The sequence below is a fragment of the Homo sapiens genome, chromosome 3 (assembly GCF_000001405.40).
Source record: "Homo sapiens chromosome 3, GRCh38.p14 Primary Assembly".
In the NCBI taxonomy this organism is placed as follows: Eukaryota; Metazoa; Chordata; class Mammalia; order Primates; family Hominidae; genus Homo; species Homo sapiens.
This window is the reverse complement of record NC_000003.12, coordinates 53,491,071-53,518,707: the sequence shown is the minus strand read 5'-3', so window position 1 is coordinate 53,518,707 and position 27,637 is coordinate 53,491,071. Positions and strand designations below refer to the sequence as shown.

The 27,637-nt window shown below is 45.8% G+C and overlaps 1 protein-coding gene across 21 annotated transcripts in view, besides 4 other annotated features; it reads right to left on the bottom strand.

Annotated features, from left to right (window-relative positions):
- The window catches only part of CACNA1D (calcium voltage-gated channel subunit alpha1 D), a 319,123-nt gene extending 295,026 nt beyond the window's left edge, over positions 1–24,097 (bottom strand). For 15 of the 21 annotated variants that reach the window (XM_011534094.3, XM_017007144.2, XM_017007141.2 and 12 more), the window contains exons 1-3: positions 22,701–22,893; positions 21,247–21,556; positions 16,988–17,093 (exon numbers count right to left, since the gene is read on the bottom strand). In XM_011534094.3, coding sequence (XP_011532396.1) covers positions 16,988–17,093; positions 21,247–21,556; positions 22,701–22,878 — 594 coding nt within the window. In that variant the 5' untranslated portion in view covers positions 22,879–22,893. Of the gene's footprint in view, positions 1–16,987; positions 17,094–17,203; positions 18,280–21,246; positions 21,557–22,700; positions 22,894–23,474 lie in introns of those variants that run through there. The other 6 variants (NM_001128840.3, NM_001128839.3, NM_000720.4 and 3 more) reach the window with 2 other exon arrangements.
- Positions 6,364–6,865: an enhancer, noted in NCBI's record as "NANOG hESC enhancer chr3:53545870-53546371 (GRCh37/hg19 assembly coordinates)". NCBI's record gives its function as "activates a minimal SCP1, AML or CMV promoter by ChIP-STARR-seq in primed H9 embryonic stem cells {active_cell/tissue: H9 hESC(primed)}" and the evidence as "EXISTENCE:reporter gene assay evidence [ECO:0000049][PMID:30033119]".
- Positions 22,248–23,032: an enhancer, noted in NCBI's record as "H3K4me1 hESC enhancer chr3:53529703-53530487 (GRCh37/hg19 assembly coordinates)". NCBI's record gives its function as "activates a minimal SCP1, AML or CMV promoter by ChIP-STARR-seq in naive H9 embryonic stem cells {active_cell/tissue: H9 hESC(naive)}" and the evidence as "EXISTENCE:reporter gene assay evidence [ECO:0000049][PMID:30033119]".
- Positions 23,033–23,818: an enhancer, noted in NCBI's record as "H3K4me1 hESC enhancer chr3:53528917-53529702 (GRCh37/hg19 assembly coordinates)". NCBI's record gives its function as "activates a minimal SCP1, AML or CMV promoter by ChIP-STARR-seq in primed H9 embryonic stem cells {active_cell/tissue: H9 hESC(primed)}" and the evidence as "EXISTENCE:reporter gene assay evidence [ECO:0000049][PMID:30033119]".
- Positions 24,149–24,648: an enhancer, noted in NCBI's record as "H3K4me1 hESC enhancer chr3:53528087-53528586 (GRCh37/hg19 assembly coordinates)". NCBI's record gives its function as "activates a minimal SCP1, AML or CMV promoter by ChIP-STARR-seq in naive H9 embryonic stem cells {active_cell/tissue: H9 hESC(naive)}" and the evidence as "EXISTENCE:reporter gene assay evidence [ECO:0000049][PMID:30033119]".

The window sequence follows — 27,637 nt, the reverse complement described above, 5'->3', positions numbered from 1 at the left end:
TTCTTAAAGAAAAGACGGGGAGTAAGGTCAGTGACAACAGGATCCCATTTTTAGCCAGAAGCAAAGGAAAATGAAAAGCAGAAACTGGCTCTGAAGACAAGTGTTGCAACATCTTTGGGAAGAGGTTGCAGCCCTAGAACTACTGCTTTGATGGGAGCCCTATGTGTGGGTTGTGCAAGTTCTGATATCTTCATTAAGCAATCACAGTCTCTACCTCCAGCACTCTGTTCCTGCATTGGAAAGAGAGACCACCGGACACCTATTAGGAAAACAGGCAAAGCAATCAAAGCAACTTCAAGGTGCCTGGTACAGACAGAGTGATGCTTCATTAAATGGTCTATTATTTACCAAACATCCCATGCCAGCAGCTGTAGAGGATTTAAGAGAAATGGGACACTGGGTCCCTGCTCACAAGGAGTTCACATTCTTATCAGAAATAGTAAGAAAACAGCATAAGATCAAACACAAGCAAGTCTGTGGTTCAGAAGGCAGGGCTGCTTCCACCCCAGGGTGCTAGTCCTCTCAGTTCTACAGAGAACACACCAGCTGATTCCAGCTCCCCAGCTTCAGCACCCGACGTGCAAAGCCACAGTGCAGAGAAAGCAGGCAAGACCCACATATCAGAACTCCAGCCTCAGGTGGCTACCCAGCTAGTGGTGTGACCAAATCCATTACTTCAGTTATTCATCAGACAAAACAAAGACAGATTTAGGAAGAGGATGAAGATGTGAAATTAATTCACATATTAAGCTCACACTTAAAACTAGGAAATAACATTTGCTTGCCTAGAGGGCTGGCTGGGTTACAGGCCTATCCATTATGAGGCAAGAATTATTTGCAGTTTGCATGTCACAAGCACAGTAAATACCTATCTCAAGGAGTTCAAGGAACAGTCAGGAAGCTGGCCTTTGAAAATCGTGATGCATGGCCGGGCACGGTGGCTCATGCCTGTAATCCCAGCACTTTGGGAGGCTGAGATGGGTGGATCACAAGGTCAGGAGTTTGAGACCAGCCTGGCCAATATGGTGAAACCCCGTCTCTACTAAAAATACAAAAATTAGCTGGGTGTGGTGGCGCACGCCTGTAGCCCCAGCTACTCAGGAGGCTGAGGCAGAAGAATCGCTTGAACCTGGGAGGCAGAGGTTGCAGTGAGCCAAGATACTGCCACTGCACTCCAGCCTGGGTGACAGAGTGAGACTCTGTCTAAAAAAAAAAAAAAAGAAAGAAAGAAAAGGAAAAGAAAATGGTGATGCAGCTCCTGTCTGAAGGGTAGGGAAGGAGGGAGGGTCCTGTCGAGCTCTGGCCTGGTTGGCTCTTTCAGTCCCTCTCTACCACCTTCCTTCTGCAACTTCAACTTCTTCCCAAGCACAATCACCATAGCTGTGCTGGCAGGTATGACTCTTCTGCGTAGGTCCCAGATGTGGCACTGGCATCATGGAGAGATGGAGTGGAATTAGGATTCAGGGCCTTGCAGTGAGGGATTAGGATTCAGGGCCTTGCAGTGAGGGATTAGAAGGCAAGATGAAGCCAAGTCCTCTCCTCGAGGCCCTCTCTCAACAGACAGCCATAAGGATGATGCCGCCCATGTGTATATAGCTTCGTAGATTATAAAACGCTTTCACACAGATCTCATTTAAATTTTTACCTCCTGCTTTATGACCAATGAAGAAAGTGAGGGTCACAACGAAGTAAAGTTACAGAGCAGGGACTCAAAGCCAGGCCACCGGACTCCAAATTCAGCATTCTCTCCATGACATCCCTCACACTCAGTGCTGGGCACAGCACTGCAACAGTGAAGAAAGTGACCACAGACCTCATTTGTCATCTTATGGGTTTATTCCCTCAGCAAAGAGTCATTTAAGTTAACGCCTCCTAGCTTCATCTGCCTCACCTGCAAAATGGGGACGCTAGTAACTACCGTATGGCTTGTCGTCCAGATAGGCAACACAGAAAAAATGCTGGGCCTGGTGCCTGCAATCAAAAGGTGCAGGCCCCAAGACACAGGCCCTACTAGTTCATTGCACAGAGGGGAACATACTTCCATGAAGCCATCAATGTGGCCACAAACACCAACCCGAGTCCTCACACTGTACTTGGTCTTTCTGCTTTCAGTCACAGGGCTCCCTGCCGCTGAAAATGCTGACCTCAGCGTCTCAGCAGGAGGCCTTTCTGCTGCAGCACCACTCACCCAGTGCCCCCACCAGGCTTCCACACAGCGCTATGCTGTGGGTGAGCCCTGAGCTATGAGTAGAAACTAGCCCCTTGCTGAGGAAAGGGAAGGGAAGGGAAGGGCACACTCCTCTTTCCAACCTCCGTGGACTAGGCCACAATAAGGGAAAAAATCATAAGGCAAAGAAAGGCAGCAATCATGGAAGAACACAGGGATTTAACAGGTGTGCCGTGTGACTGATTCTCAAAACCCTATGGCACTTCAAGGGGGGTATAGGAAAAGATTCCCCCAGTGCTCAGATACTGCCAAACCTTAAACTTCACTGGGAGGTAAGACTCTCTTGAACTATTCTTGACCAGTTAACTAATGCCTTCTGGTAAATGAGAGCTCCCTCGCACATTATTTGTATTGACTCCTCACAAAGATCCCACATGAAAAGTGAGATGAGAATTATTATCTCTGTTTTACAGATGAGGAAGCCAGACCAAGGGAGGTGAGATCATTTGTTCATTCCCAAACCCAGTCAGTCAGCATCAAACCTAGAAACCAAACCAAGATCTGTCTTCCTCCAGAGTCTCCACTCTCCTGATACGGTGGAAGGCTGAAGAGAGAGAGAGCCAGAGCAGGGCAGAGCCTAAATGCCTGAGAAAGTGGGACTAGATGCACAAGGAAATCAATGGGCCAGCATCTGTTGTTCACAGAGGGTTCCCTTGCAAAATCGCCTTTAATCCTCTCAACAACATGACTATTAATAATGCTATGATCCCCATCTTACAGGTGAGAAAACAGAGGTCAGGGACCACATGTCAGAGAAGCAAGCCCATCACCTGGGTCCTGAGGAGCCCTAGCTCTGGCAAGCCAGCTCCCATCTGTGAGCCTTGGTCTCTTACCCGAGTGACCTGCAGGGAGGACTCCATGACACGAGGAACACAGTGTGGCAGAAAGGGCAGGAGAGGTCCACATCCTAATTCTGCTGCTTACTTGCTGTTTGCTCTTGGGCAAGTCATTCAACTGCCCCACACCTTGGCTGCCTGGTGTGTCAAATATCAGCAATGTTCACAAGGCTGCTGTGAGGATAAAAATCAGACCCTATGATGAAGTGCCGTATAGGCCGTCCCTGACCACGCAGGTGTTAGTGATTGTTTTCACGACTCCAAATCTAGGAACTGCACGACCATCGGGCCAGAATCCCCCTGACATCGTTGTGCTCCTTAGCTCCTGCTTTATTTCCTCTTCTGAGCAACATTTAAGTCAAGAGACAATCAGGGGCTCCCACCTGGGCCAAGCAGAGAACAAGAGACACCTGGTGGATTTCAAGTCGGCTGAGAAAGTCACACGTAAAGAAACCACCAAGCCTTGTGGGTAGTGTGCTGAGCTTTGAACTTTTTACCCCGGACCACCATGTAGAGGCAGGCTTCAGTCTTCTAGCTGCAGCAGAATCAGATCCTGACCATTAAACTAGCCCCCTCTCTGTCCTTGGTGTTCCAAGGGAATTAACCACCCTTTATTGTCTAAATGATGATGGGGTATGGTCCAGGTCTAGGCCCTCCTATGGCCAGCAGGCTCATTTTCAGTTCATTTCTTCACCAGATCCGCTGCAAAACCCTCTATGACCACTAAAGTCTTAGGCTATTCGGTGGGACAGATGCACTAGCTCAGTCTGGTAAGAACACCTAAAAAAATGGCTTTAGAAATTAAACTCCAATCCAAGCAAACTGTCCAGGAAGCTCTTCTAGTATGGCAGGAGGGACCCATCACTATCCAATCCTCCATCCAGCCAGCTCTTCACCAGGTGCCCCAGAGCAAGCCGGCTGGTCTTCCCAAGCCTCAGTTTCTTCATCTACAGCTAAGGCTAACGACACCTACCTCACAGGACTGCTGTGAGGCTGAAGCCCATCTTAAACCTCTGGCTCACAGCACAGTGCTTTCTAGGAGCCAGGGCCTGTGATAACACCTTTAGCCATTTTATTTCCTCTTCCACAGAGAAAGAGCAGATGCAGAAAGGGCTTGACCCAGTCACAGAGCCAGTGAAAGGCAAAGCTGGGACTGAATCCTAACCTGGAAAGTTTCTATGCCAGTCCCCAGACCTTGGTTCCAATCACTAATCAAAAGCATGAATGTGAAGCCTAGCCAGAGAGACCCCCACCCCCCACGCCCCCAAAAGGTTCTGCCGTCAGCTCCCCCATGGTCTCCTCTCTGGCTCTGCCCTTTGGTCATACCCTCCTCCGCTTGGTGTTTAGGCATCATCAGCCTGTGAGCCTGGACTCCCTTTCATGGCCTAGTACTTGAGCGTGGGCGCTTGAGTCAGAAGTCCGGGTGTGAATCCTGGCCCTGCCAATTACCAGGAGCACGGCCTCGTGCAAGCAATATAACCATTTCTAGCCTTGTTTCCTCACCTGTAAAATGAGGATTTTTTTAACAGTATCTCCCTTGTGGGTTTATGGTAAAGATTAAATGGGAATTAGAGGAGATTACAGTCATGCATAGCTTAACAACAGGTATAAACAACAGGGTCCTGAAAAGTGCATTGTTAGGCAATTTCATCACTGTGTGAACACGGAGTGTACTTACACAGACCTAGATGGTACCACCTACTACATACCTAGGTTATATGGGATCGCCTGTTGCTGCTAGGCCACAAACCTGTACAGCATGTGACTGTGCTGAATACTATAGGCAATTATAACACCAGTTGTATCTAAATATACAAAAGGTACAGTAAAAATACTGTATAAAAGCCAAAATACAGTACACCTGTAGAGGGCACTCACCATGAATGGAGCTTGCAGGACTGGAAGTTGCTCTGAGTGAGTCAGTAGTGATGAGTGAATGTGAAAGCCTACACTACCATACACTTTATAAATACCGTACACTCAGACTACATTGAATTTACTTATTTTTATTTTTTCAGACGGGGTCTCAGTCACCTAGGATGGAATAAAGTGGCACAATCTCGGCTTACTGCAATCTCCATCACCCAGGCTCAAGTGATTCTCCCACCTCAGCCTCCTGAGTAGCTGCAATCACAGGCGTGTGCCACCACGCCCAGCTAATTTTTTTGTATTTTTGGTAGAGACGAGGTTTCACCAGCTGGTCTCGAACTCCTGAACTCAAGCAATCTGCCCACCTCGTCCTCCCAAAGTGCTAGGATTACAGGTGTGAGGCACGCCTGGCTACCAAATTTATTTTTAAAATAAAGTAATTGTGCTACAATGTTACAAAGGCACAATGACTACGATGTCACTAGGCAACAAGAATTTTTTAGCTCCATTATAATCTTATGGGACCACCGACTTTGATCTTGGCTGATGAACTGAAACACTGTTATTCAGCACAGGACCCTATATAGAAAGCCCACCTAGCTCAGCAATGTCAGCCAATGTCAGCTAGTAACAAAGGCAATAACCACTGTGCCTCCAGTTATAGTCAGAAAGACAGGGCAAGCTAACCACACAAAAACAAGAAACTGAGGAAAGACCCACTGCATTTGTTAGCCAGCTCTGCTGATTCTCTCCTGCCCTACTACATCCGCTGGCCTGTGCCCTGGCTATTTCCATAAAATAAATGTGGCAATCTATGGTCAAATGATTTCTACAGGTTGGTATGTATGAAGAAAGCAATAAAGTATTTTATGAAATTAAGCAGGGGAGGGAGAGGTGATGGAAACTATCTTTCGGAAGATGTATTATGGCAAAAACCGTCATTAGGTTTGCACCGACCTAATACTACACAAAGAAAATAATTGAAGAGATAATGAAAAGTTGACTCAATGCCCAGCTTGCTTTAAAGAGACAATCTTTTGTCATCACTGCCCCTGCTGTTCTTAGACCCTGTCCCTTGGTCAGATAGGAGATGCCCAACTTCAACCTGGAGTCATAGTTGTAACTGAGGTGGGTAGGAAGAAAACAGATTGGGAGACAGATGCTCTGCCCTACATCCCCATGCGGTTCGTCTCTCACTGTGTAACCCAGGGCAGGTCATGCTGGCGGGTCTGAAAAAGGAACAGACCCATATGGAGGTTTCTGATGTCCTCTCCAATCCCAACCTCATCATGTCTGTGATTCCTCATTCAGGGTCAATCAAAACCAGGCGGTCTAACCTACTATTGTCCCACCTGGCTTTAATAACATCAATTAACTGATTCATTTGGCCAACCTAAAACACGCCAAAGCTTTCTCTACCCCACCACACTAGTACCAACCCATGGATGTCTAGGAAAAGATTTATTAAACACCTGTCTTTTACCAAATTCTAGCTGGCTGTCTCTACTTTGCCACATTCTAATTTAGAATTTTGGATGTTTTAATTTCACTCCCACCAGATAAAAATTCTGAAAAGAGCTTTAGAAAGATTCACCATTAATTTATATTTCAATAATTCAGAATTTGTGTAAGCCTACAGAGAAGTACAATTTTGCATTATCGTGAAAAAAGACCAAGGGGCTAATTACTGACATAAAAGGGCAGCATTTTACCCATTTAAGCTGCTTTCACACCGTTTCAAAGCAGTCATTTAAATATAAACAGTGTTTCATTATACCCTGTTGTTATCTATTTACTGAAGAATATTCAAGGATTTCTTATTTTTAAAAATATTGGTCATTTATTTAAATTACATTAGAGTAAAATAATAAAACCACATATATTCAAATATGGTTTTACGGGGGCAGGGGAGGATGTTCTTTGCATAAATTCCTGTATCCCTTTGTATTTTGAGTTAAACCAAGTTAGCACAAAGAGGGAATGTGTCTAATGGGACTATATTTTACCCGTAATAAATGCTTTAAAAAGTACTTTATGAATGATTAAATAATGGCTATGTTAAACTACTCTTTTTTCATCTTCCCAGCTTTCATCCTATACTAATTTATATAATCAAAAAGCAGCGTTTTTATAGAAATGAGAAGTACTTCCATTTTCATTATACCACAGTTTAATGTCGTACCCTGACCCCTGAAAAACATGAATGCAGGGACCATCTGCTTGCGCGGCATTTCTGACCCCGACAAAAGCACGGCGAAGACATGGCTCATTGTGCTCCAACAATGTACCTTACACAAGGACCTGCGCTGGAGATTCCTCCTTGGATGTGCTTCCTAGAAAGTGCTGCTCTGAATGAGCGTGGCTGCTTCCCTTTGTCGAAAGGATAAAAACCCTGTGTGTCAGGATGTACTCTTTTTCGCCGCCGCTGCTGGGAAACCTTGAGGCCAATTCCATGTCCAGGTGTCAGCAATCAGTTCCCCTCGAGCACCCTGGCAAGTAGACTTTGCTTCCATTCCCCATTGTCCCACTTTCATCAAATTCTATTTTCTAAACCACCTCAGAGATTTCGGAAATAAGAAGGGCACAAACCCTAAACACCATAATAATAGCGAGATTTTACTGTGTGTGAAAATAAAACAGATAATAAGAACACGGGACATCAGAGACATACCGGATTGGATATTCTTCTTCCCCAACTAACAGGGACATAAAGGCAGTATTTGTCATGAAACCAGTCCGTAGCAAGCAAACGTTCCAAAATAAGACTCAGTTTTTGTATTAGGAACTTATTTACCTATTAGCTACCTGGAATGAATATTTCACTCAAAAGAAACAATAGTATCTAAGCACCTGGGACTGAAAGCAAGGGAGACAAGAATAAGTTTTGGTGCCTTTTATCTGGTCACTGGTGCAAAATAGATTCCTAAAATCTAGGGCTCAGGTTTGTGGACTTTCTACTCTAACCAGATGCTCCAGATGCTACTAACATCCCAGAGAGAGGCCAGACCCAACCCCCAAGACTTCCTTTTGTACAGCCTAAGATACAGAACACATGAGGTCACTCTGCAGAGTGAAATGACTGCTGAGGCAGTGAGATGTGGTGTGAGGTAAAAGAGTACAGGCTTAGTGAAGAATGATGTGGCAATAAACATGGATATTAAAAACGCACATACCCTCCAACCCGGAGAGTTTACTTCTGAGTTGTCATCCCAGACAAACGTTTTCTTGCATGCACAAAGAAGCATACAAAAGGATATTCAATGCAGCATGATTTGAAACAGTAAAACTTTTGGAATTACCCTAAATGTTCATCACAAAGAAAACAAATAAACTGTGGTACATTCATACATGGAATATTTTACACCAACTATGAAGTTGTTAGATTTCTGCATACAGATATGGAAAGGTCTGTAAGGTCTATTGAGTGGGAAAAAGGAAGCCATAGAATGCATGTTCCCACTTGCACGAAATTTAAAATACTCAAACTGTATTTATGTTTCAAAATGCACAGGTGATATATACATACGTACACACACGCTGTGAAAAACAATTCGGAAGGGACACACGGAACTGATCATTGTAATTAGAAGGAGTTGGGTAGGTAAAGGGGTTTGTTACTTTATCTGTATTGTTTTAATTATTTGAAACAATGTATTCATGTATTACTTGTGTCAATTTTGAGTGATGATTTATAGTAAGAATGCAAAATATGAAAACAAATCTGGCTGTTTTCCAACCCCACACTGTAGGTTTTCCTTCACAACAAGGCATGGGGAGCCACAGCAGCGGGCTGGAAGGCAGAAACACAGGGCTGCTGTGCTCTGCACAGGAGGTCTCAATCAATATTTGTTGAATAAAGCTGCCTCAATTTCCTTTCTTATAAATACGTCCTCTTATAGCTGTAAAAAAGTATCTGTGAGTCTATGTTATGCAGGAATCCCTGACGGACACAGGAAAAGGATTCAGCGTCAGCCCTCAGAAGATGAGCATGGCAGGGAAAGGGAAGGAGAAAGAGCATGAGCCTCTCGCCTGGCCCCTTTGAATCCCCAGGCAAAGCTAACCTAGGCCACCTCTTCCTGCCTTCCCTGGCTGGGCTCCTACAGGGCCAGCCAAGACCGGGATCCCACCACACTCACTGAGCAGTCTGCACCTGCCTCCCCGCCCTCCCTCGGGTCAGCCCCTGATTCCCTCCAGCCTCACCTCGCGTTCACTCATTCAATAATTTCAACAGATGTCCTGTGATTTCTAAAACTACCACTCACCTAACAGGGAGGAAGGAAAAAATTAGCAAAAATAATTGCTTTGAAGTTCTGGAGAAGAAAGTCATTTTCTCCAGCCCAGGCAGTGTCTGGGGCCCTGCTTAATTAAAGCCACCAAAGGAAGGCTTCGTCCTGCAAGGCCTGTGTCAACAATGCCCACCTCCACCTTTCCCCTAACTCACACACTCATGAGCATGAGCTCTCTCTTACTCTCTCAAACACACACACACACACACAGAGGGGGCTGTGGAGCTCACTGATCAGTTCAGGCAGTTCCTCCTTCATCCCATCTTCAGCTATTCTGTTTCTTCCTCCATACCACCCATTTCCGGCTTTGCCTGCCCAGCCAAACACCCTTACAGCCCACAGGAACCCCAGCTGGGAGAATACCAATCTCACCTGAATTAAAAAAGGAAGGCCCCCGCCTCCACCACTCTCCTTATTTCCATCACATGAGCAGACAGGACTTGAGGACCACATCCTGTAGCTGCATGGTGGGGATGCTAACATCTACTCCTGGATCAACTGCTAACCAGCCCTCTACCCTTGCTGGGGCAGGGACACCCGCCGACACCCCTCCCTTCTGCACATCTGTCCACTCAACAGTAACAGTGCACATGGTCCCTCCCTGTACACCCCACCTCCAGAATTCTAGAACCTCTTCCATTCCTTTAGGAACTTTCTTTGGTGAGAAGCTGTTGGGGTCTGTTGGGGCGTGTCCCCACCGCCACTGGTATTTAACACCCAAGTGTCTCTACTGCTGGGCATGCTGTCACCCTGTATTGGGTACTTTTCACATTTGTCAGACAGTTAAAAAGTAAACAAACACCAATGAGGAAGGTTAAAAAAAAAGAAAACTACCCACCAATCTGCTACAGAGGTCTCTGTTTCTGATGCAATCATTGTTAAAATGCCGAACTTAAGCTGAGATTAAGAAAGAAATGCCTTGCTCTCACTTATAAGCGGGAGCTAAATGATAAGAACTTACGAACACAGAGGGAAACAACAGACACTGGGTCTACTTGAGTTGCGGGGTGGTGGGGGAAGAGAGAGGAACAGAAAAGATAACTATTGGGTACTAGGCTTAATACCTGGGTGATGAAATAATATGTACAACAAACCTGTGCGACTTGTGTTTACCTATGTAACAAACCTTCACATGTACCCCCAAACCTAAAATAAATGCTAAAAACAAAAAAAAAGAAATGTGGGAGGAAGAGCATCAGGATAAATAGCTAATGCATGCAGGGCTTAATACCTAGGTGATGGGTTGATAGGTGCGGCAAACCACCGTGGCATGCATTTACCTATGTAACAAACCTGCACATCCTGCACATGTATCCCGGAACTTAAAATAAAATAAAATTTGAAAAAAAGAAAGAAATGCACGTCCCCACATGCCCTCCTCAAAATGAGCTGAGGAAGATGTACACATAGGCAACGTGAGGCTGACCTACTAGAGGTCAGTCAGACTCTGGCTCAGAAACCCGAGGGTGCAGGGCAGGGATAGAATGCTGGTGACATCTTTTCAGCCCCCCCTTTCCAGCTGTGTCTGATGCCATTTCTACCCAGTGGACTCTTTGGTTAACTGAGTTTATAAATTGTACATACATACGCACTTTTTTTTCAGCTAAGCCAATTTGAGTGAGTTGTATTCCCACAATCTGTAACCCAAAGAGTTCTGGCTAATACTCTAATATACCCAAATATCCTCACCCTAAGGTAGTCTCACTAGTGAAGGGTCTAGATGGGGAGGTTCGTTGTATAAGGTATGACTATAAAATAATGATATTCACATTGTAAAAAAACAAACCAAATGAGCAAGGACCCCCACTGGAATTCCTCTTATGGAATTTTAATAGTAAAAAACCTAAATTCTTCTTTTTTTCCTTTATTTTTGAGACAGGGTCTCATTCTGTCACCCAGGCTAGAGTACAGTAACATAATCACAGCTCACTATAGTCTTGACCTCCCAGGCACAAGCAATCCCCCCACCTCAGCCTCCTGAGTAGCTGGGACCACAGGTGCACGCCACCACACCCAGCTAATTTTTTTTTTTTTTTTGGCGGGGGGAGACATGGAATCTCACTATGTTGCCCATTCTGGTTTTGAACTCCTGGCCTCCAGCAATCCTCCCTGCTAAGTGTCCCAAAGTGCTGGGATTACAAGCATGAGCTACTATGCCCAGCCACAAATCTCAATTAAGAGCTGGATTTTATTTTGGAAAAGCCGTCAATACTCAATCAAGTAAAGCCTTTGTCAAAATGACGTAAGGCTTAACAAAAGAGATATAATTATTTGTATAGCACATAGACTGTTTCACATTATATCATTAGGAAACCAACTTTGGGTAAAGTTTTACTACACGAGTCCATCTACTCTGGTCATTTTGAGGCTCTCTCCCCTTCTACCACATTTTTTTGTTTTTTTTTTTTTTTTTTTTTGAGATAGAGTCTTGCTCTGTCACCCAGGCTAGAGTGCAGTGGCTCACTCATAGTCCCCTACAGTCTCAAACTCCTGGGCTCAACCAAGACTCCTGCCTCAGCCTCCCACATAGCTGGGACTACAGGCACATACCACTATGACTGGCTCAATCAATTTTTATGTGAAAGGTGACAGTCACACATCCATCCAAATAGAATCATCTGCAATGTGGCTAATATACAACATTGAATACAGAAGACAGGTTTATAACTTACAGATTCAAAAAGTATCAAGTACTTGTCTTTCTTCTCTCTTTAATAGTTAAATTTGCCAAGAAAGAAAGATATACTCCTGAAATTAAAGACGAACTCTGCCAGGTGTTTCCTGGGATGTCATTACTAATGGACAAAAAGTCAGCCTCTCAGGCAAACATTAATCATTAGCCAATTGTTGATAATTAACTAATGATCTACAAGAATATACCATGGAGTCCTTGTATGGTCATTCATTTATTTATTCACTCATTTGACGTGCATTTCCTGATGTGCTTCCTGTGTGCCAGGCACAGGATTAAGTTCACAAGGCTATACACCCAAATCAGACTGCAGTCTCAGCCTCTAGGAACTCATATTCTAGTTCCATCCAAAGTCACTCAGCTAATCAGCCAAAGAGTCAGGCTGTCAGACCCCACAGCCCATGAGCAGACCATCACACTCCACGCCACTTCCCACAACAGTTATAAACCAGGGGAAAGGGGCTGGTGTCTGTACAGGAGAGTTGGACTGGGCACAGGGGTGTCCAGAGGGAAAGCAAGTACTCAGATGTAGGCAGGCGGGGAGTGGACAAGTATCAGAGAAGGCTGAAGGGAAGAAGCAGCATATGAGCTGTCTGAGAAGAATAGACAGAACCTAGGCCTACAGAAATAAGAAAGTTCAATTCCAACAGAATGACAACCATGCAAAGACACAGTCTTGATGATATACAGACCTAACCTCCACCATATAGGCTAAGCCCAAGGAGCCAGGTTATGAAATTGTGTTTCAGGTATTATGGTTCACACCTCTAGGTGCAAAAGCCATGAGATGCCGAACTACGTGACCATGCAGATACAACGGACTTGATTTTTAAGCCCAGTTAACACTACACTCAGATCTCAGCCATGGAGGAAAGAAAGCAATCAAAGTAGACTGTCCCGCAGCATTCCTGGCCACTGTAAGGCATCTGGTGCCACAGGCAAGCATCCACAGCCCAGCACTGCTTCTCAGACAGGTCCCAGCACTCTTGCTACTCTGAGCCCTGGAACCAGAGTACAAAATTTCCTAGACTGCTCTGCTATGAAAGCCAACACTGTGGGCTCTTTTAAGCAGAGGTGCACAAGAAGGGCCGCAGACCCTAAGCTTTTCAGGAATAACACGTACACCTTCCCACTCATTCCCAGCTAAGGACCTGCAAGAAATCCACAAAGGGACCTGCCACCCAAGAAAATCTGAAACATGGCTCAGAGGAAGGAATGATGGTGGCGCTTCTCCTGGGAAAGTCATTCGCTTGGTGCACATCAGCAATACTTATTTACTGAACATCTACTGTATACCCCTACCACTGCATCAGGCATGGCTGGGGATTCAGAATGCTTCACTATTAACTGTATTTTGAAGACGCTCCAGAGGATAAAGATGTGCATATAGGCCAGGCGCGGTGGCTCAAGCCTGTAATTCCAGCACTTTGGGAGGCCGAGGCGGGCAGATCACAAGGTCAGGAGATTGAGACCATCCTGGCTAACACGGTGAAACCCCATCTCTACTAAAAATACAAAAATATTAGCCAGGCATGTTGGCGCTCGTCTGTAGTCCCAGCTACTCAGGAGGCTGAGGCAGGAGAGAGGTATGAACCCCAGAGGCGGAGCTTGCAGTGAGCCGAAATTGCACCACAGCACTCCAGCCTGGGCAACAGAGCCTCAAAAAAAAAAAAAAAAAAAAACAAATAAACAAATAAAAAGCACCTGGTACATCAGGCACTTTGCTAGATAAGGGGATAGAGAGACATGGGCCATGGGCCTTTGCCTCCGGGCGCTTAGTGCTGGTTCAGAGATGGCTTAGAGGTGAGTGCAGCCATCAGTAGGGATCAAAGAAGGTCTGACTTGGCAGATGAAGATCTCCATTCTGGACATTTTTAATTTCAAGCAGTTCCACACTCCAGAGAAGTAAGAGGTAGCACCGGGAGGAAGAGTACCAGGAACAGATTACACAGACTCAAAACTGTTCAACCATGTCGGTTTGCTTATAAGAAACTGAATGATATGAAATAAAGCATTTTTCATCACAGTGAAGTATGATATTGTAATCATCCCCACTCTGACACTTGATACAGAGGCATTCCCCTCCTCTGTGCTAAAAAAAAAATAATAATAAAATCAATGGTATTTGCTTTCAGTAAGTGGAACTGAGGAAATACTGCTATTGACTGAACTAGGAGGGCTATTACTGTGGGAACTGAGTTGCACCGTTTCCATGACTCCAGCCTCCACTAGCCCTGCAAGTCCATAAACGAAAGCTGCAGAGAAACTTGAGAGTGTTTATATTTTTAAAAAAATAAAGAACAAAAACTATCCCTGGGAAAACTTCTGCCCCCCAAGGTAGTCTCCAAATCCCAAAACTAGCTGAGTTACATACTATCTAGAACAAAGACACATTGGATCAATGGGGATGGCCACGTTTCTTCCCCAAAAAAAGTCATAATTTTACTAGGTAACTGGTAACAGGCAGAAACATCATACATAAAGCTGGCCCTGGATCTCACTCTATCGCTCAACTGCATCTTTCCCATGGAGCTATCAGGCAAAGAAAACCAGCAGCTTCCAGATACATGCAGCCTTGCAACTCATTTCAGCGTCTGCCCTTTGATTTTACCATTCACATTAAATGAAAGGTATTTACTACAGATGAAAAATAAGTTTCGTTCAGCTGCCTCTAAACCAATCCCAAAAATAGAGCAATCACTCTAGTACAAATTGGGTCAAATGTATTTAAAAAAAAAAAAACAAAAAACCAGCTCCCTCATGGGAGGACCAACATGGCATGGGACCTTGCTTAGAGTCAGAAGGAAATCCACAAAGATCTTCCCTTCCCACAGTGGGAAAGGAAGTATTTAAAGAGTCAAGCAGAGTAAAAATTCATCTGGCCATGTGACCACCCAAGTGAAAGCAAGACACAAAGTTGAATGCCATGAGTTTCAGAATACTATATGAAGAGGTCAAAGGAATATACGTTGGCTTTTAGAAAGGCCCACCAAATTAACACACTGCCAAATCCCCCCCCACAAAAAAAAAAAAAAGTTCAAAGCTTAAGAATAGTCAAGAAAAGATTCACTGGAGAAGGGGTGCAAAAGGGAAAGATTAATCCATTTCCTGTATTTTATTTCCTGACTTCTTAGCTGAGAAATCCAAATGGTCTGACAGTGCCTATATCAGTGCCCTGAATTTCCCTGGGAAAAATTCAGAATATTAATTGGCTTACACATGCAGCTACATTAATTATTCCACTGATCTGAATTAATCTGCCTTTCTGAAAGGTATTTATTTTCTAAGTTTGTTTAATCATGTTCTCTTGAGCTACGAAAAGTAACAATCTGGGTCACCATCCACGTCGTTAAATTTGGTAACAAGGCTAACACCATCTGTGGCCTAGACTACGATGATCTATCTCCATTGATGGGAGGCTTTCCACCACTTCTGCTTTTTCTTTAAAACAATCATCTAATGTCACATGTCTACAAAGAAATCAAAAGCTACATAAAATGTCCAAAGTTACACAAATGATCTCTGGCATTGTCCAAATATATACTACCAGTGTTTATGTGGTTATCCGACTCCCATTTATAGTTGTATTTTCAGCATCAATTCCCAAAATTTTTAGAAAATTCTCTAGATATCAAACTACTAAAGCCCACATACAAATAGACATCACATTACATCTGAAATGTGCCACAACATTTTAAATGTAACATGAAATCCTGTACATAAATCGTTAAGGCTTATTCACAAGAGCATAATTTCACTATCTTCAGAAGCCAGCAGAGCTCTCCCACACAAGGGAGAGCCTAGTGTGTTTGCCTTTACAACGCTCGCTCAGTTAGGAACATCCAGCCCTGCTAAAATAGAGCTTCAACATGAGAAGCCAAAAACAAACGGAACCAGCTAAGAGAAGAGAAGAAAAACAATAGAGTTTCCTGTTATCCAGAATGGGCTCCCCTTCATCTCCCATTCTGCATGGCTTCTGATTGCAAAGAACCAATCCTTGCAAGAAGGATGCTGCAGCACCAGAAAAATCCTGAAATGGCTTCTGAATCATCAAAGAAAGATTGCAGAATGTCAGAGGTAAAAACGATACTAGCAATCTTCTTACCCAATCCTCCTAATTGCCAGGTGGCTGCACAGCAATGCAGAAAGGTATGAGAAATGACCCCAAATACAGCTAGTTGACAGGTGAGTGGGACAAGATCCTAGTCCCAGTCTAGTACTCTTTAGTGCTTTTTTTTTAAAAAAAAAACTATATCAACCTTTCCCAAAGGAAGTTCCATGGACCACTGGTTCCATGATGTTAAAGTCTTTTGCCAAAAAAAAAAAAAATGTTTAAAGAATTCATGACTGATTACTTTTAGGGACTAGCTGAGTTAAATAAAAGGAAACCTGTTTTTTAACTGCAGAACTTCCCAAAGCTTTTACTAAGCTAATGTGCACTATAAATCTTTAAGAAGGCAGCAAAGTATATGGAAGCATCCTGATTTATTTAACCATACAATCATTTTCTCTTGGAGCATTTCATAGGACGTGGAGTAGAAACTTTAATATTATATCATGTATTCAATAATATCATGTATTATTCTCCAAATTATGCTCTATGTAGATTTATTAGTTTTGTTATATTCTACTTCTCTAAAAATAGTTCATGTACAAAGTCTACGATAATTCTCTACTTACCAGAACAACTGACCAAAGTACCCACCACTCCCAAGAACACTAGATTAAAAACAAAAAAAAAAAAAGAAAAGAAAAAAGCTAATATTATCAGGAAAAGAATGGTAGCAAAAACTTATGTGGAGATAACAGTTATTTTAAAATCTGCTCCAAATCTCTTCCATAAAAATTCCATATCTATTTATAAAAGATTCATGACTTTAAATACTTTCAGTCAGTATAAATTTGAGAATACAGGTTAAAACAAACAAACAAACAAAAAACCACTGTTGCAAAGCTCCAAGAAACACGACATGCATAGCTATAAACTTCAACCACCCAGAAGGCCAGCTGCCAGTTTAAGTATAGAAGCAAATGATAACCATATACCAGGACCAGCAGGAACTCTAAGGACACTTACCAAGTTATGATTTGTTGAATTAGAATCATCTTCAGGGAATGGGATGTAAATAGCTAAGGCCACACAATTGGCAAAAATAGCCAATAATATAAATATGTCAAATGGTCTGAAAAAATGTGTTAAGGTATATATGTGTTATGGAAACATAAACCATGTCCCTCATCACACTCCCGATCACACCACTTTCAAAGCACTTTTAAAAGGAAAATGACATACACAAATCCTATTTCGGCTGACTGCTGTGACTGCTAGGTTTTCGGCAGAAGTAATCATCGGTGGTCATCTCACAGTGGAGCCTCCTACCAAATGACCTCTCCGTGTCCTTTTCTTCTGTTGCAAGGATCATGTTACACTCATTCTTCGGCTGCACACTGCATATTAAAACCTAAAAGTACATCCAATTAGGGCACTGTGTGAACTAGGTTTCTGCTTCTTACAGGTTTAAAAGTGACAAGAGCCTTACTAAGTTCCCGGCTGTGGTAGACACAGAGAAATCATCATGGGATAAATGTCTTCCGCAGATCCTTGCCTCCATGTGTTAGAGCCATTTTCTCAGGGGCTATTCTTGGCAGGGTCAGCCTAAATCGCCTGTCTGGACTGGGCCAGGCCAAGCCACCAGGACCTTCTCATTCTACCTATAACTTTCTCATGGCATATTCCAATACCTCAGATGTGATCAGCAGCGAGCCAGGCTTCAGCTCCCGCCTCTGCTTTCTCTGCTAGAGGAATCGATGGCTATAACTGTTTCAGATTAGAGCCGGACTGGAGCTCAGTTTATAATATGCTGTTACTGTGCTCAATTTGTAAACAAATTAAATTAAAAAGCCATAAGAAATCAGCACCAGACACGTTCAAAGTAGGCTTTAACATTTCTCAATCTTGGTGGTCTGTCTGGAAGAATCACTTTGAGATCAGCCTTCAAGAGATACTTACCTAAACATTCTGGTGTTATTAAGAGACATTGTCAAAACTGGCAACACAAAATTTGACATCTGCCAAAATGATTGTTTTTCTTCTTTGGGTTTTCAGCCTTTCCAAATACAAGGTTTTGTGAGCACCAGCCTCATCTGCAATTCCTGGGCTTGATTTTACCACAGTGCTTCGCCTATACACTCACCCACAAGAGGCAAGGCCATGGTTTAACTAAACACTTCAAGGTACTTAAAACTGGAGCATACGAACAGACTATTCTCCATTCATCCTGACATACTTCTGGGAAATCCAAAAATGCCACAGGAAACAAATACTCTTTACCTCTCTAGAGATATCATTTTTTTTTTTTTTTTTTGAGATGGGGTCTCACTGTCACCAAGGCTGGAGTGCACTGGCGCAATCTCAACTTGCTGCAACCTCCGCCTCCCAGGCTCAAGCCAGCCATCCTCCCACCTCAGTCTCCCAGGTAGCTGGAACTACAGTCATGTGCCACCACGCCGGCTAATTTTTTTTTTTTTTTTTTTTTTTTTTTTTAGTAGAGACAGGGGTTTTGCCATGTTGCCCAGGCTGGTCTTGAACTCCTGGACTCAAGCAATCTGCTCACTTCTGGACTCGCAATCTGCTCACCTCAGCCTCCCAAAGTGCTGGAATTACAGGCGTGAGCCACTGTGCCCGGCCTCTGGAGAGATCTTGAGTTTCATAAAACCTTCATCTTCGAAGAGCTTTCATAACTCAACGAAAAAAAGGCAATGAATAACATTATTCCCTTACTAATTTTGATGGGTTTATTTTTTTTAAGCCAGTCAGCTTTAATTCACATTGGTTCTCTCAACTCATCTAATATTATAAAATCTTTTTCACCCAGGGATCCAACTTTCAGATAGCCCACCTTAAGACTTCAGAATTCCCTTTCCATTTTTCCTTTTTGTAGGTCCCCACTGAAATCTAAAGTCAAGGGCCCCAATGTTGTTCTCCATAGAAACACAATAGTCTCTTCCCTCCCTCTTTCTTCCATTCTTCATTTTCAATTTCCCAATACCTAAGTAATAGGTATTCTTCCTTTTCAATTTCCCAATACCTAAATGATAAACCAGCACATCTGAGAAATACTAACACTGTTCAGGAAGACTAAATATAAGTTGTATTTTTTTTTCTTTATGTTGGTCCAGTTTTGGTCTCCAGGTACAAGTGGATACCATCTCACTGCCATAAGATTTTCACAAGTGAAGCAGAACAGAGCAATAGAGAAATAGATGGGTCTGATCCTAACAATTCCTTCTGATAAGGAGAACATCCCTCACTCCTCCAGGGGGCAGGACACTCTGTCATGCCTGTCTGTAAAAACAAATGACCCTTGACCCTTGCTCTCCCACTGCGGATGGGGCCTTGACAGAGCTGCCCGGGGTGGAAAGGATTTCTATAGCCTGCTCCCTGAATTAGAAGGAAACTGTCATTAAAAAAAGAGAAAAAAAAATCATATATTGCTTAAGGGTCTATCTATTTTACAAACTGTCCCATTTGTAAACAGGCTTCTCCCTGAATTGGCAGCCACGTCCCCTAATTCCTGTACACATGTGTCTGGCAACTGGAAAAGGGAGACAGCAGCGTGATCCAGGAATTCACTCTGCATGCAAAAATTGCTATGTACACATTACCGTGCACAAAGAGAAACAGCATCAGGCCTCCCACCTACTCCACACAAAAGTAGTGACCCCACAAAGAGGTCTCTGCTTACTCAGAGTCGTGTCAAGCCAGTCTGAGGTCTTCCTGGCAAGGTACAGCCATTGTCATGAATCTAGCAATGCCACTGGGCCACATGCTGGCTTACCGAGCTCCCTCCTCGTTCTCAGACTAGAGAACTTCAAAAGAAAATGCACACACACAACCCCAGCTATGTGAGAGACACCATAACTCACTCTAGAGAAGGGACATCTGCTGCAAAATGAAAAAGCACATGAGAACCCCTCAAATCCTACCCTAGCATTTGGCTGCTCTCTCCAAAATCTTTCTAGACAGTTACCTCATTTTAACTCCTGTCCATTAGCACAGAAAATAGCCAGCTAAAGACAGAGGGCATGCAAATAGCTGCCGAGCTAGATCCTCAAATTATAAGGGGATTTCAGCTCCACTTTCTAGCTGGCTGCCAACATCCTCCCTTTTTGGTGTGGCCCCTCCATCCTTCTGGGCCTGGTGGAGGGAATTCCTACATTCACACCCCTTCCTATAGTTAGGAACTGTTCTAAGGCCCCTGACAGTTCCAAACACACTTCTGGGGAAAGGAAATGCTTTACTTTACCCAGACCAATGAATCATCTGCCTAATTAAAAAGCCATTTGCTCAGAAAGAAGGCCTCAGTCAACCTTCTCTGAAGAGTGGCAGTAACTGGAGGTTGGCCTCCAGATTTAGGGAAGGGGTTAAGCAGGCTGAAGCACAATCGTTTTCCAAGATCTGGGACATGACAGCCATTCTGGGGCATTTGGAGTTCAATTTTAAAAATACAAAGGAGACACCCAGAAATGTACCTCCAGTCCAAGGACATAGACAGAATTTTTTATAAAGGCAGCAACTGCAAATTCCTCCACTGAAAAGGCTGTTCTATAACTCATAAGGGCCCAGGAGGAAGAGGCACACACGAGCCTCTCCCTTCACTGGCTCCCTCATGCTCACGTTCCAAATGCTTCTTTGGAACTTGTCAAAAGGAAATTCCAGGAAGTTATAGCACTGATCAGAGAAAAAAAATCAAAAGTAATCTCTCCCTAGGAAGCATGTGCTCATATCTGCAGCTACCTGAATAATTAGAATCACCAAATGTCAGACTAGAAGCAACCTTAGCATTAATTGTAGTTGCAGAAGCAAATTTCAAACATCAGAATGAGAAGATTCTACTAAAGGTCAAAAATGTATTCCCTTCAAACAGAGTCTTATACAGTCTTTTTTTCTAATCTGTATACCTTGTTTGCAATAGGTTCAATGCATGCTATTGCCCAAAGACAACACTGAATTTAAAACTAACCATCTAATGTCCAATAACCAAAGGTTGGTTTCACATTTTAATTATCTGCCCCTGTGAAGTTTCAGGCTGTCACTCCCTCCCCCTACTACTACTACTATACACACATCCAGACAGTGGGCTAAATATACCCGTACAGCCACCCCTCTGCAACCCGAAGAGACAGGAAGGTATATACAATGAAACCCCTTATATACAACTTCTGTTACTCGCATTCCAGACTGCTACAGCTTTGTGTCACTTCAGAAAGCAAATCCTTTTAAAAAACAGATGGTAAAAGAGAAAATGAGAAAGACTTCCCCCAAAAAAAGGATACTTCCATTCCACTATACTAATGCAGGCTCTTCGGATGGGGTTATTGAGTGATAAACAGAAAAGGGCGCGGGCAGGTCGGCTGTTGGACGAGTTACCCTGTTTTTTGCTCTTGGCGTATTGCTGACGTTTTCTTTGGGAGAGAGATCCTACAGGTGGGGGTGCAGAGGTGCTCATAGTTTGGGCAGCCTTGGCCTGTCTAGCAGCATCGATTGCAGCTTGCCAAGACAGGACAGTTTGCTTGGAGCTATTCGGCTGAGAAGTTGGTCCTTCACCAGAAAGAGGAAGTCTGGTGCCTCTTGCATAGTTTGCCTCTGGGGAGAAGGAGAAAAACAAAGATTTTTTTTTTTAAATGAGGATCCAGTGGGTAGGAGAAAAAAATCAAAGGTTGTCTCCCATCAATAACAGGGGAATCATTCACTCCTATGTTTCCATTTTGAATCTCATGTGCTATTTTTCACAAGCTGGGCTTTAGTCAGCTGGAGAGTCAAGAAAAGTCCACGAGCTCTGGTCTCAGTGTCAATCACACAGGATCACCGCTGCATCACACCCAGTGGGGTTAGTACTCCTTCACATCATGTCTTCACAAAGGGTCTTTTAGTGCATTTCTTCTGACAAAACTGAGGTCATTCCCACATTTACTCCGCATCTCTGATTTGTAAAACCCATCTATCTCTAATGAGTAACAGATACATACAACAGCTTTTCTCTAACATAACTACCACCATCACCAAGGGGAAAAAAAAAGGCAGTACCAATAATTCAATAGTCTTAATCATTTTCAGAGTGTTACTCCAACATCTTTCCACAGCCACAAATGCATTTTTTTCAGTACCGAAAAAAAATCTTCCATAGGCACCCAGGCAATACCAAAAACCCCATAACAAATATCTAGATTATGCACTGACACTTCCTGCAAATGAAAATTCATGATGCTTGGGACTCATTTCCTCCACAGGCTTCCGAAAACAGAAAACATCTTTAGGGCTTTTTTGCATTTTAAATTGCAGCAGCATCAGCCAAGCCAGCATCCAGAGAGACAGACAAGGCAGTCAGCCTGCACCCCTACACCTAGGATAGACTGACTGGATTATGCCAGGGGCCTCCAGGCCTAAGAGGGAATTATCTCCGTGTAGGTTGGTATCCAGGTGCACACAAGGCAGAAACTCAAGGAGGCTCCCTATGCGAAGCCCCCGCCAGCTTTGGGTCAGGCCATCTCCCAGGCAGATCTCCCAGGCACCTGCCGCCTTCCGCCACAGTCTCCTCACTGAAGCAGAAGTGAGAGAGGTGACAGCAAGGTAGAGAGATGGGCGTTTGCAAAGCCAATTATTGCTAAGTAAAGAGTCAAAGCAAGCACGGGTCTGAAAGCCTGAGAAGAGGGCAAAGCGGGCGAGCGGCGGGCAATCGGAGCGGGGACGAGTCGAGTCATGTCAAGCTTCTCCCTAGGGGAGCGCTCACCCGGAAAGGCTTCCAGCCGACAGGGGTTGGGGGGCACTGGCGGTCTCCAAAGGGGAGGGCTGGCCAGGAGCTGCTCCATCCTCCCTCGACCCAGCCCCGGCCGGCGTGGAAGCTGCACGTGGTGCCCGGGCCAGAGCTGGGGAGGGGAGCCCCACAGCGGCAGCGGCTCCCCGGGCATTGCTAGGTTACCGACGTGTGCACAGCCGGCGACGGGAGCGGGAACGCACGCTCCACCCGAACCCCTTTCCCCGATACCGAGGCCGGGCCTCCCCCGCGAGGGGATGGGTGTGCTTCACCCACCGGCGCGGAGGGCGAAACCGGGCAATCCTAGAATTTTCCGGATGCCACCAGGGACCTTCTTCCTAGTCAACGAGGGGGCGGGGGAGGAGTGGAAGGCGAGAAGAGGCTGGCAAGGGGGCTCCGGCTGAAGACTTGCGGCCCTCCTGCCATCGCTCGGGGGCGTTGAAGGAAAGTTGAGCCCGAGGACACTGAACCCGAATCACCCCGACTCGCCGCCCCTCCGGCTGCACCGCGCTCCACACACTCCACGGCCGCCCCCACCCCACAAATGCAGAATTAACTCTGACATTCAGGGCCTGGAGGGGAGCGCGGAGTGGCTGTCACGCATGTCCCCTCTCTGTGTAGACGACACCGAGCTGGCAGCACCCTCTCCAACCCCCTCAACCCATCCAGCGCCGCGGGGAAGGGGGAGGGGGCTGGAGGACCATGACAGGATCGGATTTGGCAGCGGGTGCCCGGGCTCTGGCTGCTCACCGTTCGCGTGGTCCGCTTGCTGCTGCCGTTGATGCTGCATTTTTTTCATCATCATCATCATCATCATCCACGAACATTTATTGAGCGACTACTGTGTGCAGGGCACTGTGCTGGGCGTTGAGGCGGGGGCGGAATGGGGAAGGGGATCACCAAGAGGTAGGAGCCGCGGTCCCTGCCCTTATTCTCGCTTCAGCAGGGGGGTGGGGAGGGACGGGGACAAATAACAGAAAATAAGGATAATTGATTTAAAAAAAAAACCGCTCGCCACCCAAGCTCTCTCTTTTTCAAAAATGGAGCAAAATAAACTTTTTAAAAAAATAAAATCCAATGTATATATTATCTTAATAATATATACATGTAATTTTTTGCTGCAAAGGAGAACTGGCTTGTCCCCTCCTCTAGCGGAGAGACGCCGCGGTGATGCCGGCCCGGCCGCCGGGGCCGCTCGGCGCTCCCCCCATGCCCGCCCGTCTGCCCGCCCGCCGCGGTGCCCGGTGCCCGCCGCCGCCGCCCGCGCCGCCGCTGGCTCGGGACCGCGGGCAGCCGGAGCTCACATCCGGGGACGGAGGCGCTCGCCCGCCCGCTCGCTCCGCGCCCGCCGCGCCGCGCCGCACGCCGGCTTCGCCCTGGCGACGCTGCGCGCCCGCCGCCGTCCCCCGCCCTCCGCCCGCCCCGAGCCGCCCACGGCCCGCGCCGCGCCGCGCCCCGGCGGGTCTGCAGCCCGGCGCGCGGTTCTGCCCGGCACCACTTGCGCGCTCGGGGTGGCCGTCGCGTGGGACTCGGGGTGCCGCCACCCCAGCCTGGCCCGGCTGACCTGCGGGCTCCAAAGGGTTAAGCGCGCTCCAGCGGCGGGCTGCCCGGTTAACCCCCTCCGCGCCGCACGGTGCGCTCTCCCCCCGGGACCCGGAGGAGGCAGGCGGCGCCAGTGTCTCCCGCGGCGCTGGGGTGCGGATGAACCGCTCCTCCCCGCGCATTTCTGGGCTGGGGGACAGCTCGGGCTCCCGCGCCGGCCCCGACTCCGCGCCGGCCTCCTCTGCGCACACCTGGAGGAGGCCCCGCCCCCTGGGAGCTCAGGTGCTAGCGGGCGGTAGCTGCTGCGGTCTCCGAGCTCATCCTCGTCAAGGCTCGGCCGGGCTCCCTGGCTGCTCCGGAGCGGGGCAGGCGCCCCCTGCTTTTCTCCGGCCCTTTCTGGAATCGGGGGGGTTGGGGTAGCCCGGGTCTGTAGAGAGCACTCACTACCCCAGGTAACTGCCTGCAGCTGGAACCGCGAATCCAGGGCGCCCCCCATCTTCTCCCCTGCCCTGCGCCTGGCCTGGCGTCGCGGAAGGCAACGGGGATGGGGGGCAATATCTCCCCCCACCCCACCCCGCCCCCACGTGTGTTTGGAGGCAGGTACAGGGAAGTCAAAGCCAAGGTCTTTCAAACCGCTCGTGTTGTTCAAGGAAATAGACGGTGCTGCTGAAACTGTTGCCTCCAGTCTGGGAGCTGAAGGGAGTAGTTTATTTTTTGATACCTTCGCTGGCTTGGATTTAGGGTGGGGGAGATTTGCAAACGGCAGCTCCTGTCTAAAGGGGAAAATACTTTATCTAGTGGATGACTGATATTTTTCATTTAGCTTTGTGCTGCCTGTTAGGAGAAGGGCGTCTGCTTTGTTACTTCACAGGATTCGATTTATTTGCTTTTGTTCCTATCTGCATGTTCCTACGGCGTTTTAGAACGTTTCAGAACAGTGACTTTAAAGCGAAAATAAAGTAAAAGCTCAGCGTGAATTAAGAAAAATAAGTGTTTATGGGAAGGTGCTCCTTACCCAAAGAGAACACACTAGTCATCCTCAATTGTTGGGGGGCACCTGGGCAGAGAGACTGGGGACCAGACAGAAGACTCTCCAGAGGCCTTCCTGAGGGGGTGTCTGGTCCGTGAGGATGAAAACAACCAGGCTCTTGTCCTTTTTTGTGCTTTGTTTTTGGAGACTGGAGAGGCGAGAAATCGCCCTACGGTCTAGTAACAATATAAAGCTGGCCTGGGCCACCTCTCCTATGGCTGCTTCTGATCCAAAATCTGAAGGGAATAGAAGACGGTTCCCTCCAAAGAAACTAGCCCATCCAAGGAGCATGTATGAAATTCACAAGTACACATGTCACTTTCAGAACTCCTGGTCTAAAGCCTTGCCTCTTGAGGCCTTTTCTACAAAATTCCCTGAGCAAGTTTGTTTTATGATACCTTTGCTGGCTCAGATTTGGAATGGGGGAGATTTGCAAACAGCAGCTCCTGTCTAGAGGGAAAAATACTGTATCTAGTGGATGACTGAGCCGAACCATATTTGCTCATTGTTCAGTTCAGTGCAGCCAGCATTCATAAGGCACCGGTTAAGAATAAGGGTCTGGTCTAGATGTCAGGACAAATCTATGGCACAGTTCCTTCCTCAAGGACAACCTAATGACAGAAGAAAAGTTTGTATACTTTTTTTTTTTTTGAGACGGAGTCTTGCTCACTCTGTTGTCCAGGCTGGAATGCAGTGATGCAGTTTCAGCTCACTGTAACCTCTGCCTGTTGAGTTCAAGAGAGATTCTCCTGCCTCAGCCTCCTGAATAGGTGGGACTACAGGCGCGCGCCACCACCCTCAGGTAATTTTTGTATTTTTAGTAGAGACGGGGTTTCACCGTGTTGGCCAGGCTGGTCTCAAACTCCTGACCTCAGGTGATACACCTGCCTCGGCCTCCCAAAGTGCTGGGATTACAGCCGTGAGCCACCGCGCGCCCGGCCGTGTATACTTCTTTCATACCATGCAAACATAGCAGCTATAACAAGTATGAAAAAGCGCTATACAAGCATCAGACAGATTAATTGTAACTGAGGGAACTGAGATGTTTTCACAGAAGAGAGGGCATTTGAACTGATTCTTAAAAACTGACCGGGAGAAAGAGGGATGAATAGGTGGCATACAGGGAATTCTAGGGCAGTGAAGCTATTCTTTATGATACTGCCATGATGGACGTAGGACATTATGCGTTTGTCAAAAACCCGTTGGACTGTACACCACAAAGCATAAACCCTAATGCAAACTATAGACTTTTGTTAATAGTAGTACCACAATATTGGTTCATCAATTATAACACTGGGGTGTACCAGTGTTATAACTGTGTATATAGTGTAGCTCACTAATGCAAGATGTTAATAGGAGAAACTGTTGGGGGAGAGAATATATGGGAATTCTGTCCTTGCTGCAAAATTTTTCTGTAAACCTAAAACTGCTCTTAAAAAAAATAAAGTCTATTAAAAACAGGTGACTACTTTTACAGGGCATAAATGATGTATGAGGAATGAGCTTTGGGGGTAAGAGCAAAGGCACAGGGGAGACTGAAGTGCAAGGTGGGTGTGTTTAAAAATGAGCAGGAGCACAGTGTGGCTGAGGCAAAGACCCCCTGGGCTAGAGGAGGAGGAGGCTGGAAAGGCCAACCCAAATCTGTGGAGGAAGGCTGGCTGGCTAAGAAGACCAGATTCAATTTCTTGGCAGTGAGAGCCAGTGAAGTTGTTTTAGCTCAAAAGTGACATGATTAAATTGTGGTTTCGGTCTCCAGGTTTTGTGCGTTAGATCTTAACAAGTTTATGGTATTGCAGGAGGGTTTGGGGTTTTTTTTTTAAATAATTATTTTTAGAAACAGGGTCTCACTATGTTGCCCAGATTGGAGTGCAGTGGTGTGATCATAGTTCACTGTAAGCTGCAAGCCCTGGCTTCAAGCAGTTCTGCCTCAGCCTCCCAGCGTGCTGGGATTACGGGCATGAGCCACTGCTCAGCCTTGAATTGGAGTTTTTGACATTCCATCCCAGTTTCTGAATGAGTCTCATCTTGGCGATGTCTCCAGCAAGCATTTTTTTTTTTTGAGGGCCTTGATTCAGCACAGCTCTAGATGCGTTGGCCCATTGGGTAATTTAAATATTTATATTCCCATGATAATGCAAACTACTGAATAAATAAATAATAAGATCTTTTAAAGGCTTCCTGTGTGCCAGGTTCTAGGGTAGGCACTTTATATGTACTAACTCATTTAATTCTCGTAACAAGCCTACGAGGTACTATAAAACCCTCATTTTGGCCAGGCTCAGTGGCTCATGCCTATAATCCCAGCACTTTGGAAGGCCAAGGCGGGCTTGAGTCCATGAAT